Source organism: Homo sapiens, chromosome 7 (assembly GCF_000001405.40).
Source record: "Homo sapiens chromosome 7, GRCh38.p14 Primary Assembly".
NCBI classification, from domain to species: domain Eukaryota; kingdom Metazoa; phylum Chordata; class Mammalia; order Primates; family Hominidae; genus Homo; species Homo sapiens.
In genome coordinates this window covers 70,868,710-70,882,819 of record NC_000007.14, presented here as the reverse complement: position 1 = coordinate 70,882,819, position 14,110 = coordinate 70,868,710, and the positions used below count along the sequence as shown (strand labels likewise).

The window sequence follows — 14,110 nt, the reverse complement described above, 5'->3', positions numbered from 1 at the left end:
AGTGAGACCCTGTCTCAAAATAAATAAATAAATATTAAAAAATTTTAAAAATAAGTTCGTACAGTGATTTAGTGCAGTGTTGAGAACTGTGGCCTCTAAACTGGTGGGATAAGTGACCTCTACTGATATTTAGTGGAGCCATTGCCATTGTGCAAGAGCACGTCTGTCCCAAACATGTGTTCTTGGTGCCCCTCAAGCTGAGAGTCCTGTTGGCTCTGAAGAACTGTATTAGTCTGTTCTAGTTGCCGTAAGATAATAGCACAGACCGGATGGCTTAAACAACAGAAATTTATATTCTCCCAGTTCTGGAGTCTGGAAGTCCAAGATCAAGGTGTTGGCAGGGTTGGTTCCTGCTAAGGCCTCTCTCCTTGGCTTGCAGACAGCCGCCTTCTTGCTCTGTCCTCACATGGCCTTTCCTTTGTGCACAGGAATGTCTGTTCTCAAGTTTTTTTCTTCTTATAAAGATACTAGTTCTATTGGATTAAGACCCACCCTTATGACCCCATTCAACCTTAATTTTGTCTTTAAAAGCCCTATTCCACAAGTAGACCCACTGAAGTTAGGACTTCAGCAGATGAATTTTGGAGGGACACAGTGTACAACAGTGGCTGAAGGAATAAAGGTAGGGCTCGAACTCCCTAACTAACCCCTGTAAAATTAAATAATTCAAACTTGGGGCTGGGCATAGTGACTCATGCCTGTGATCCCAGTGCTCTGGGAAGCTGATGTGAGAGCATCACTTGAGCCCAGCAGTTCCAGACCTGCCTGGGCAACATAGTGAGATCCCATCTCTACAAAAAAAAAAAAAAATTTTTTTAAATTAGCCAGGTGTGGTGGCATGTACCATCTGTGGTCTCAGCTACACAGGAGGCTTAGGTGGGAGGCTGAGGTGGGAAGATCGCTTGAGCCCAGGAGGTCAAGGCTGCAGTGAGCCATGATGGCACAACTGCACTCCAGCCTGGGCGACAGAGTGAGATCCTGTCTCAAAATAATAATAATTCAAACTTAAAGCTGTTACAACTTTAAATTATCCTGAGCCTTGAAAGGAGTGTGGCTCTGCAGCCTGAGTCACGTGGCATGCAGCTGCAAGTCCTGCCTCCTTTTTTCCTGTAAACCATTAAGAAGACGAAGAGCCGCCAGAGATGGGACCTCCCCCGTTCAGATCACTGCCCTGCCTCCCAGTAGTAATCTTCCTTGGCATTTAGCCACCTTTAACTGATCAAATCGCTATGGTGTATGTGCCTGGTCTTCTGTGGAAAATGTTGTAATCCTGCTGAAACATCCCAGTCTCTGCCTATATCATTGAAACCACCACCTCTCTACTTTGGAAATGCTAACTCCATTCGTTTGGAGTCACAGTTTCTGGGGTGGCCATCCTCAAGCTTGACACTTAATCATATTTTTTTCAACTTTTTTTTTTTTTCCAATGAGACAGGGTCTTGCTTTGTCACTCAGGCTGGAGTGCAGTGGTGCAATCATAGCTCACTGCAGCCTCAGTCTCCTGGGTTCCAGCGATCCTGCCACATCATCCTCCCAAGTAGCTGGGACCACAGATGCATGCCATCATGCCCTGCTATTTTTTTATTATTATTATTTTTTGTAGAGACAGGGTCTCACCATGTTGCCCAGGCTGGTCTCAAGCTCCTGTGCCCAAGCAATCCTCCTGCCTTGGCCTCCCAAAGTGCTGGGATTACAGGCATAAGCCACTGTGCCCAGCCTGAACCTTGTTATTTAAGGTTGACACCCTCCGCCGCACCCCATAAGCCAAGCTTAATGTTGCTTTATCCTGTGGTCTCCCTCATCAGGCCTTGCTCTGCCCCTCTGTCAGACCTTCTGTCCTCTTCCTTCATAGCACTTAGCATCATTACAATTACATACTTCTTTGTGCAAATGTTTGTTTATCATCTGCTTGTCACATTACATGACAGTCTTCAGAGGTATAGGCACTGCATTCCCTGCTCTGTTTCCAGCACCTGGTAAAGTCCCTAGCACCTAGCAGAGACTCCACAAATACTTGTAGAATGAATTAATCAATTAATGCTTACTTATTTGTTAAAAGAGACCAGGGAATCCATCTCAGCAACATTTGGGCTAGATGCAATTAAAAAGCACAAACAGAATTTTGTTTTAAATCAGCAAGCATAGTTTTCCAATAACATCGGCGGGTCCAGCATCCAGCCAGGCCCATCTTCTGTCCCTGACAAATGCCTAAGTGATGGATGGCTTGAGATAGAGGACAGCCAGTGCAGGATCAATGATTCTGTAATTGGATGTTGAAGGCAAAGCATGAAAGGACAGTCTTGGTTCAGGGATGGGGTGGGCTGGAGGTGGGGGTGAGAGAACAACACAAAGTCACATCGGGGAGACAGTTGTTGGGTGCGGGAGGGGGATCTGAGTGTGATGTTGGGGACATGCCCTTCCTAACGAGGCCAGCCACCCCATGTATTGTTGGTGTTTCTGGAAAGGGGTCCCAATCCAGACCCCAAGAGAGGATTCTTGGATCTTGCACAAGAAAGAATTTGAGGCAAATCCATAAAGTAAAAGCAAGTTTATTAGCAAATAAATAAAAAATGGCTATGCCATAGGCAGAGCAGTGGCATGGGCCCCTGGTGGCCAATTTTTATGGTTATTTCTTGATTATATGCTAAACAAGGAGGTGGATTATTCATGAGTTTTCCAGGAAAGGGTGAGCAATTCCCAGAACTGAGGGTTCTTCCCCTTTTTAGACCATATAGGGTAACTTCCTAATGTGGCCATGGCACCTGTAAACTGTCATGGTGCTGAGGGGAGTGTCTTTAGCATGCTAATTTATTATAATTAGCATATAATGAGCAGTGAGGACCATCAGAGGTCACTCTCATCACCATCTTGGTTTTGCTGGGTTTTGGCTGGCTTCTTTACCACATCTTGTTTTATCAGCAAGGTCTTTACTACCTGTATTTTGTGCTGGCCTCCTATCTCATCCTTTGACTAAGAATGCCTTAAATGCCTTCACCTCCTGGGAATGCAGCCCAGTAGGTCTCAGCCTTATTTTACACAGCCCCTATTCAAGATGGAGTTCCTCTTGTTAAATGCCTCCGACACTGGGATCCCTACCTGTATGCCCAATTCCTAGGCAGGTGACATGGTTTGGCTGTGTTCCCACCCAAATCTCATCTTCAATTGTAGCTCCCACAATTCTCATGTGTTGTGGGAGGGACCTAGTGGGAGGTAATTGAATCATGGAAGACAGGTCTTTCCTGTGCTGTTCTCTTGATAGTGAATAAGTCTCATGAGAGCTGACGGTTTTATGAAGAGGAGTTCCCCTGCACAAGCTCTCTCTCTCTTTGCCGGCCGCCATCCATGTAAGACATGACTTTCTCCTTGTCTTCTGCCATGATTGTGAAGCCTCCCCAGCCATGTGGAACTGTGAGTCCATTAAACTTCTTTTTCTTCCCAGTCTCGGGTATGTCTTTATCAGCAGCATGAAAATGGACTAATACAGCAGGATTAGATTTTTTCAGCCATGCACACTTGGACAGACAGACATCAGTTGACAAGCCCACCTTGTTTCCAACAGGATTTTCTACTTTACTTTGGGTCTTCCCTGAAGGTATCTCTTAAAGACAATTCAATAGGAGTAACTGCTTTCTTTAACATTTTGGCCAATCCCAACCTCAGCATGTGCTCAACACAATTTTCACAATATGGAACACCACCTGTAATTGTTCAGTACAAGCAATTCTATCATCTTGCTACTCAAAATCTGGGCTGAGAACCTGCAGCCTCAGCATCACTGGGGAGTTTATTAGAAATGCAGAATCCAGTGTGGTGGCTCACACCTGTAGTCCCAGCTCTTTGGGAGATTTCGGTGCGAGCATCGATTGAGGCCAGGAGTTCAAGACCAGCCTGGGCAACATAGCAAGACCTTGTCTCTACAAAAAATTTAAAAATTAGCCAGGTTTGGTGGTGCATGACCGCAGTCCCAGTTATTCAGCGGGGCAGAGGCTGGAGGATAGCTTGAGACCAGGAGCTCGAGGTTGTAGTGAGCCATGATTGCACCACTGCACTCCAGCCTTGGTGAAAGAGAGAGATGCTGTCTCAATACAGGATCAGAATCTGCCTTTCAGTAAGATCTCCAGGTGATTCATGCACAACTTTATATTTGACAACATTACGTCTGAAAGGCACTAACCTAGAGCAGCTTCACTGAAAAAGCTCCCCAAAATGCAGTTTCTACTAGTGAATCCGTCATGGAATATCATCTGTCCCCTTCATGGATGACCCGGGGCAGCAAATTTTGTGCATCTTACCTCCAATATAAACCTCAGAAATATATAGTTTTATATGTCCTAATTCTGTCTTCTCACAAAAGAACGCTGGGGTTGGGTGGCTTTTTTATTTTACAAAAATAATAAATTTAGATATCATCTAAATCTCCCTTTTTAGAACTGAAGAAAAAAAACCAATTTGACCCATACTTGTGGAGTATTTTAAGATGACACAGCAAGAAATATTGCCCCAAACAATGAAAATTCAACCCAAAATGATTTTATGTTTTTAGTTTGTATTTTCTCATTTCCTACCAGTGTTCTCACATCTCAAGGCTAGTTTCTGGGCTTTGAAAGGTGAAAAATATGGTTAATGAATAGCAGACACAGTCGTGTGATACCAGCAACGACTTCTAAAATCTCTCAGCCTCCAGCAGTCTGGTTTCCAAAGCAGTTGCATTTATAAAATCCCTAAGAGTCAGAGGTAGCCTCAATTAGCACATGCATTTTCACAGACAAGAGTTTTAGAGTGTTTCAGATTTTTAGAGAGATTATATAAAGGACACAAAGCTGGCAAGTGTCAAAACTAGTTGGGAGCCAAGAGCTGTCTGACACCAAATTAGATTTAAAAAAAAAAAAGTGGGTCACCTTGGGAGGCTAAAGCAAAAAGATTGTTTGAAGCCAAGAGTTTGAGACCAGCCTGAGCAACATAGCGAGACCCCGTCTCTACAAAAACTAAAAACAAATTGGCTGGGCATGGTGGCACCCACCTGTAGTCCTAGGTACTCGGGAGGCTGAGGTAAGAGGATCACTTGAGCCCAGGAGTTGGAGGCTGCGGTGAACTGTGATTGTGCCACTGCACTCCAGCCTGGGCAATAGGGCAAGAACCTGTCTTTAAGAAAAAAAAGGAAAAAAAAAAGGCATCATTACTGAATTCCCAAGAGTGCGTAACAGTCACTATTATTATCACGGGATCCAAATTCCAAATATGGACCCCAACATGTCCAGCTTCTAATGCAGAAGGTACAGTGGTCTCCCCAAGGCTAGAAGCATGAAGGGATTTGGGATGAGATGATTTTGTAATCAGCCAAGACACCCTGCCCAGAAACGTTTTCAGAATTCTTTGCCAGATATATCCAATCAATACTCATCTTCCAAGATGACAAGATTACATGAAGACAAAGCTGAAGTCGCTGGAAGGTGTGTCAGTATGAAGTAGTCATGTGGTTTCTTCTCAGAAACTCTTCTACAAGTCTTCACCCCCCTGGAGATAATTATAAAAATAGGAACAAAAAAAAAAGTTGGCACAAATAAATAATGAAAATAGAAAAAAAAGAAAACCCCCATACATGTGCATGTGTCTTTATAATAGAATGATTTATATTCATTTGGGTATATACCCAATAATGGGACTGCTGGATCAAATAGTATTTCTGTCTTTAGGTCTTTGAGGAATCTCCACACTGTCTTCCACAATCGTCGAACTAATTCATACTTTCACCAATGGAGTATAAATGTCCCTTCTACTTCACAACCTTGCCAGTATTTGTTATTTTTTGACGTTTTAATAACAGCCATTCTGACTGGTGTGAGATCGTATCCGTGGTGGTTTTAATTTGCATTTCTCTAATGCTCATTGATGTTGAGCTTATTTTCATATGATTGTTGGCTCCATGTAAGTATCCTTTGGAAAAGTTTCTGTTCATGTCCTTTGCCAGCTTTTTTATGGAGTCCTTTGTGTTTTGCTTATAAATTTGTTTAAGTTCCTGGACGTTAGACCTTTGTCAGATGCATAGTTTGCAAAAATTTTCTCCCATTCTGTAGGTTATCTATTTACTCTTGTTGATAGTTTCTTTTCCTGTGCAGAAGCTCTTTAGTTTAATTAGATCCCATTTGTCAGTTTTTGCTTTCACAATAGCAAACACAAGGAATCAACCTAAATGCCCATCAATGGTAGACTGGATGAAGAAAATGTGGTACATATACACCATGGAATACTATGCAGCCATAAAAAAGAATGAGATCATGTCATTTGCAGGGACATGGATGGAGCTGGAGGCCATTATCCTTAGCAAACTAACACAGAAACAGAAAACCAAATACCATATATTCTCACTTATAAGTGGGAGCTAAATGATGAGAACACGCAGACACATAGAGGGGAACAACATACACTGGGGTCTGTCAAAGGGTGGAGGGTGGGAGGAGAGTGTCAGAAAAAATAACTAATGGGTACTAGGCTTAATACCTGGGTGATGAAGTAATCTGTACAACACACCCCTGTGATAGGAGTTTACCAACATAACAAACCTGCACTTGTACCCCTGAACTTAAAATAAATGTTTAAAAAAAAAAAAAGAAACTCTGTAGTTAAAAAAGAGACAGAGGCCGGGCGCGGTGGCTCACACCTGTAATCCCAGCACTTTGGGAGGCCGAGGCAGGTGGATCACAATGTCAGGAGATCGAGACCATCCTGGCTAACATGGTGAGACCCCATCTCTACTAAAAATACAAAAAATTAGCCGGGCGTGGTGGCGGGCGCGTGTGGTCCCAGCTACTCCGGATGCTGAGGCAGGAGAATGGCGTGAACCCGGGAGGCAGAGCTTACAGTGAGCCGAGATGGTGCCACTGCGCTCCAGCCTGGGCGACAGAGCGAGACTCCGTGTCAAAAAAAAAAAAAAATACAGAGAGAGAGAGAAAGCCTTTTGGGAACGTGGTGAACACCAGACAGGAGTATGGTGGACCTGCTCTTGTAGGAATGTCAGCTAATGTCCTCACGTATTATAGGAAGAAACCTACGTCTTGATGCGCTGATACCTTGATGCGCTGTTAGGTCCAGTGCTCACTGCAGAGAGCTAGAAATGTCCCTTTGTGGGGTGGTCTAACGCAGCGATTAAGATCCTGGATTCTGGCCCGGCATGGTGGCTCACTCCTGTAATCTCGGCATTTTGGGAGGCCGAGGCAGGTAGATCACCTGAGGTCAGGAGTTCAAGACCAGCCTGGCCAATAGGGCAAAACCCTCTTCTCTACTAAAAATACAGAAATTACCTTGTGTGGTGGTGGGTGCCTGTAATCCCTGCTGCTCAGGAAGCTGAGGCAGGAGAATCACTTAACCCGGGAGGCAGAGGCAGCAGTAAGCCAAGATTGCGCCACTGCACTCCAGCCTAGGTGACAGAGCAAGACTCCGTCTCAAAAATAGAAAAAAAAAAAAGAAAAAAGAAAAAAGAAAAGGTCCTGCATTCCAGTTCTACAAAGTCCAGCTCTGCCACTTACGACCTGTGGTATAAACTCGAGAACATTACTGCAACACTCTGGTCCTCAGTTTCCCCATCTGTAAAATGGGGATTAAAAATAGTACATACTTGAGATGGCTGTTCAACGATTAAATTAATTAACATAAAAAAATTGATGAACATAAAGTGCTTACCACAATGCCAGGTACATAGAAGATGTCAAGCAATAGCATCATTATTATTAGTTCCACTGAAAACTTTATTTACAAGACTGTATGCCCTGAGGGCAGGAGCTAAGTGTAGTTTGTCTCTGCCTTGCAGCCCCAGAGCCTGGCAGGTGCCCCCCATGAGAGGTACAAGGTGAACGAATTAGCAAATGAAGGACGTTCTCTTCAAACCAGGGACACAAGTCCAAGGGGTAATTTTGGCTGTGATTGTCCCAACAATGGATCTTCTACACACAGAAGACCAAGAGGAAAACAATGAACAAAAATAAATCAGAATTAAGAATAAAATTTGAACAAAATTTGAATAAAGAATAAAATTTGGCTGGGCGTGGTGGCTCATACCTGTGATCCCAGCACTTTGGGAGGCTGGGGCATGAGGATCCCTTGAGGCCAGGAGTTCGAGGCTGCGGTGAGCTACAATCACACCACTATACTCCAGCTTGAGTAACAGAGTGAGATCCTGTCTTAAATAAATAAATAAACAAATAATTTAAAATGCAGTTTTGAGCTGCATCCAGGAGTCAGTCCACCTTCCAGACACCACCTCCAGCCGTCTGACCACCACCCTCGGCAGCCTCGTGTGAAGTCCAGGCTTCCAGCTTCCTCATGTATCAGAGCTCCTGTCATTTCAAAGGGGAGGGCCTGAAAATGCAAAGAAAAGGCTCTGTGCTGGGAGCACTGGGATGGTGGCAGGAACCCTCAGCCTAGGAGGTGTCTCATCTGGTCTTTCCTCAATATCACACTCAGATCCCCCCACCCAGTAACTGAGATGCTGAGGAGAGGCCTTCGTCCCATACAGGGGAGGCCAGGGCTACAACAAAGCCAGAGCCCAGATCAGCATGGGGGATGAGACCCCTTCTGACCCCACACTTTTTGTTTCTCATTTCTTTTTCTTTTTTTAATTATGGTAGGCTGGGCATGATGCCTTACACCTTAAACCCAGCACTTTGGGAAGTTTGAGGCAGGAGAATTGCTTGAGGCCAGGAGTTCCAGACAAGACTGGACAGGACAATATAGCAAGACCCCATCTCTATAAAAAATAAAAATTTAAATTATATTAAAATACTCATAAAATATGTCATTACTGACATTGAGCATATTCACAGTGTCGTGCACTATGAATCACCACTCTCTAGTTCTAGAACATTTCCATTAACCCCAGAGGAAAGCCCCTTCCCATAAGTGGACACTCGCCACGCCCTCTCCCCCAACCCTTGCCAACCATGAATCCACTTTCTGTCTCCATGGATTTGCCTATTCTGGACATTTCATAGTAAGAAAAGGAATCCTGTAATATATGTGGCTTTTGTGTGTGGCATCTTCCACTGAGTATGTTTCTGAGGTTCATTCTGAGTTGAAGCATGGCTCAGAACTTTGTTCCCCTTTAAGAATAAATACTATTCCATTGTATGGATGTATTACATTTTGTTTATCCACTCATTCACTGATGGATGACTGGGTTGTTTCTACTTGTTTTTTTTGTTTGTTTGTTTCAAACACCTGGGGTGTGGTTTGGTTGTTTGGTTTTTTGTTTTTTGGATTTGTTTTGTTTTGTTTGAGACAGAGTCTCTCTCTTCTCCCAGGCTGGAGTGCAGTGGCACAATCTCAGCTCACTGCAGCCTCTACTTCCAGGTACAAGCGATTCTCATGCCTCAGCCTCCCGAGTATCTGGGATTACAGGTGCCCGCCACCACACCTGGCTAATTTTTGTTTTTTTAGTAGAGATGGGGTTTTACCATGTTGCCCAGGCTGGTCTCGAACTTCTGGCCTCCAGTGATCTGCCTACCTAGGCTCCCAAAGTGCTGAGATTACAGGCGTGAGTCACCTTGCCTGGCCCTTTTTTTTTTTTTTTTTTTTTTTTTGAGACAGCGTCTCACTCTGTCACCCAGGCTGGAGTACAATGGTGCAGACATAGCTCCCTGTAACCTTCAATTCCTGGGCTCAAGTGATCCTCTCACCTTGACCTCCAAAAGTGATACATGTTTTTTAATCCAATTTGGTGTCAGACAGCTCTGGGCTCCCAACGACTTTTGACACTTGCCAGCTTTGTGTCCTCTATATAATCTCTCTCAAAATCTGAAACACGCTAAGACTCTTGTCTGTGAAAATGAATGTGCTAATTGAGGCTGCCTCTGACTCCCGGGGATTTTATATGTGGAAGTGCTTTGGAAACCAGACTGCCCTGGCAGCTGAGAGATTTTAGAAGTCATTGGTATCACTTGACTACATTTGCTGTTCATTAACCATACTTTTCATCTTTCAAAGCCCAGAAAATAGCCTTCAGATGTGAGAACACTGGTGGGAAATGAGGTAGTACAAATTAAACACATAAAATCATTTGAGGTTGAGTTTTCATTGTTTTGGGCAACATTTCTTGCTATATCATCTCAAAACACTCCGCAGGTGTGGGTCAAAACTTTATTTTCCAGCTGTAAAAAGGGAGATTTAGATATCTAAACATTATTATTATTATTGTAGAAAAAAACCAAGACATCCAATCCCAATCAGGGTTCTTTTATGGGAAGACAAACCTGGGAGACCTGGGACTGTATCATTTCTGAGGTTTATATTGGGGTTAAGGTGCATAAAATCGGCTGCCCTCGGTCACCCTTGAAGGGGACAGTTGAGATTCCACAATGCATTCACTAGTAGAAACTGCATTTTAGGGAGATTTTCAGTGAAGTTGTTCTAGGTTAGTGCCTTTCAGATGTAAAGTTGTCAAATGTAAAGTTGTACTGATACTGTAGCTCTGAAATGGGGCCTAGGATTTTTTTTCCTTCTTCCCTCCCTCCCTCCCTCCCTCCCTCCCTTCCTCCCTCCCTTCCTTCCTTCCTCCCTCCCTCCCTTCCTCCCTCCCTCCTTCCTCCCTCCCTCCCTTCCTTCCTTCCCTTCCACCCTCCCTCCCTTCCCTTCCTCCCTCCCTCCCTTCCTCCCTCCCTTCCTCCCTCCCTCCCTCCCTTCCTCCCTTCCTCCCTCCCTTCCTCCCTCCCTCCTTTCTTTCCTTCCTTCCTTCTTTTATTCCCTCCTTCCTTCTTTCCGCCCTTGCTTCCTTCCTTCCTTCTTTCTTTGACAGGGTCTCACTCTCTATTGCCGAGGTTAAAGGACAGTGACACAATCATAGCTCTAGAACGGGGCCTGGAATTTTCTCTTTTCTTTTTCTTTTTCTCTTTCTTTCTTCCTTCCTTCCTTTCTTTCCTTCCTTCCTTCCTTCCTTCTTTCTTTCTTTCTCTCTCTTTCTCTCTCTCTCCCACCCCTCTCTCTCTCTCCCTCCCTCCCTCCCCCCCACCTCTCTCTCTCTCTCTCTTTCTTTTTTGAGACAGGGTCTCACTCTGTTGCCCAGGCTGGAGTGCAGTGGCACAATCATAGCTCCTGGCAGCCTTGACCTCCTGAGCTCCCAGTACCTGTAGGAGGGATTACAGGTAGACACAATGACAGTTAGCTAATTGTTTAATTGTTTGCAGAAATGGGGTCTCGCTATGTTGCCCAGGCTGTGCTTGAACTCCTGGGCTGAAGCAATCCTTCCACCTCAGCCTCCCAAAGTGCTGGGATTACAAGCGTGAGCCACTGCACCCAGCCCAATTACCAACTTTCAATTTTAGGGAAAGTCTATACCCAGAGGAGTGATTGCTGGGTCACACGATAATTCTGTTTAACTCATTGAGCACAGTAGGTGTTATAGTGTTTTGGGGTGTTTTTTTACATTTTAAAAAAAAACTAATAACAGCATCCTATTACCTGGCAGCTCGCAGTACCCGGGCACATGCTATGTGTCAGACACTGAGCCCTTGTCATTGTATACCTACATGAGCCTCTAGGGCATGCAGTATTACCTTCATTGTACAGATGGGAAAACAGGCTCAGAGAAGTGGTGTGGGGTGCCCAGAGTCACACAGTGAGTGGTGTGAGACCTGGGATTTGCATCTAGAGCTTTCCAATCCGAAAGTGCTTAGCCAAGCCAAGGCTCAGTCTTCCTGACTTCCCATCAGCCACCTTCACTGCTATCCTGCTTCTCAATGTCTTTTTCTTTTTTTTTTTTTTTTTTTTTGAGACGAAGTCTTGCTGTGTCTCCCAGGCTGCAGTGCAGTGGCACAATCTTGGCTCACTGCAACCTCCACCTCCCAAGTTCAAGCGGTTCTCCTGCCTCAGCCTCCCGAGTAGCTGGGATTACAGGCGCCCGCCACCACTCCCGGCTGAGTTTTGTATTTTTAGTAGAGACGGGGTTTCACTATGTTGAACAGGCTGGTCTTGAACTCCTGACCTTAAGTGGTCTGCCCGCCTTGGCCTCCCAAAGTGCTGGGATTACAGGCGTGAGCCACGGCACCCATGCCTGACCCTGCTTCTCAATTTCTATGTGACTTCCTGGATGGATGGAGGGGAGGGAGCTAGAGAAGGCTGATGAGGCCACTGCACCACTGGGAAGCATCTGGGGAGGAGGAGTGGCCTAGACGGCAGGATGATTTCCCTGTGATCATCTCAACACAAGGAGGTGGAAGCCGTTATCCTCAGCAAACTAATGCAGGAACAGAAAACCAAACACCACATGTTCTCACTTACAAGTGGGAGCTGAATGATGAGAATGCACGGACACAGGGAGGTTACAACACACACTGGGACCTGTCGGAGGGCGCTGGTGGGAGGAGGGAGAGCATCAGGAAGAATAGCTAATGGATGCTGAGCTGAATTCCTAGTTGGTGAGATGATCTGTGCAGCAAACAACCATGGCCCATGTTTACCTATGTAACAAACCTGCACATCCTGCACGTGAACCCCAGAACTTAAAATAAAAGTTGGAGAGAGGGAAAAAAAAAACAATGGTGCAGGCTTCTTTCTCTGACAACAATGCAAGAAAGCTAGAAACGAATAAGGTGTGTTTCGTAAAATCAACCCGAAACAGATGGGAAATTGTAAAGGCTCAATTTTAATTGAAATGGCCATGAGAAGAAATGTAGTACAGGCCAGGTGTGGTGGCTCACACCTGTAATCCCAGCACTTTGGGAGGTTGAGGTGGGTGGATCATTTGGGGCCAGGAGTTCAAGACCAGCCTGGCGAACATGGCGAGAGCCCATCTCTACTAAAAATTAAAAAAAAAAAAATTAGCTGTGTGTGGTGGCATGTGTCTGTGGTCCCAGCTACTCAGGAGGCTGAGGCAGGGGAATCACTTGGAGCCGGGAGGCAGAGGTTGCAGTGAGCCAAGATCACACCACCACACAGCCTGGGCAAGAGTGAAACTTTGTCTCCAAAAAAGAAAAAAAATGAAATGCACCAGGTGAGAGCCTCCAAGGGTCCTGGGAAGGAGCTGGGAGGGGTATTTTGGAGATCTCTTGGACTACTTTAGGTCCAGTCTTGAGACTGGATGAGGAATCTTCATATAAGTTTCTCCTGTCAAAGCCACAGATATGGGACTGCAAGAGCAGACAGCTCACTGAGCCAGGCTAGGACACCTGAGAGTTCAGGTCATTAGATTCCCTGCAGCCACTGTGCAGGGCCTGGTGCCTGCAAAATCCACTGGGCAACTACATTCCCACGCCAAATAGGGCTGAGAACTCCACAGGGGAAGAAATCTGTGGACAAATTTGGAAAACAGCAAACCATCTGCATGTGGAAGATGAGATTGCTTGGTGCTCCCGAGACTAGGCGGGCAGCAAGAGTTTGGAATTTTCCAGCAGGAATGCTGAGCTGGTCATCTTCAAGCCCCTTCATGCCTGGGCTAAGAAGCCTATTATTATGAATTATATCAGTGGCCGGGTGCAGTGGCTCGTGTCTGTAATCCCAGCACTTTGGGAGGCTGAGGCAGGGCGGATCACTTGAGCTCAGGAATTCAAGACCAGCATGGTCAACATGGCAAAACCTGTCGCTAAATTTTATTTTTGTATTGTAAAAACACAAAACAATTAGCCAAGCATGGTGGCGCATGCCTGTGGTCCCAGCTACTCAGAAGGCTGAGGTGGGAGGATCACTTGAGACCTGGGGTCAAGGGGAGCAGAGGTTGCAGTGAGCAGAGATTGTATCACTGCGCTCCAGCCTGGGTGACAGAGTGAGATCCTGTCTCAAAAAAAAAAAAAAAAAATTATATCAGCAATAACAGCTAACACGTATTGCACAGGTGCACCATGTCCAGCACTTTTTCGAGAGCTTTGTGTGTATTACCTAATTTAATCCAAACAACAATACTACATGGTACAATATTTTTATTTTTTACAATTATTTTTCCCATTTTGCAGAAGAAGTAACGAAACAGAGGCACAAAGCGGGGTGCAAAGCTGGTAAAGGGTGGAGCAAGTGTCCAGGGCCAGATATTCTAGGGAAGCCACAGCATTGAACCCTTGCCAGGAGGGGTGAGGCTCCTAGGACCCCTTGCCCTTTCCTTCGTGCACTGGCCTCTGGCTGCCCTGGGGCACCA

At 45.2% G+C, this 14,110-nt stretch overlaps 1 annotated feature.

Annotated features, from left to right (window-relative positions):
• Positions 13,000–13,501: an enhancer, noted in NCBI's record as "H3K27ac hESC enhancer chr7:70334305-70334806 (GRCh37/hg19 assembly coordinates)". NCBI's record gives its function as "activates a minimal SCP1, AML or CMV promoter by ChIP-STARR-seq in naive H9 embryonic stem cells {active_cell/tissue: H9 hESC(naive)}" and the evidence as "EXISTENCE:reporter gene assay evidence [ECO:0000049][PMID:30033119]".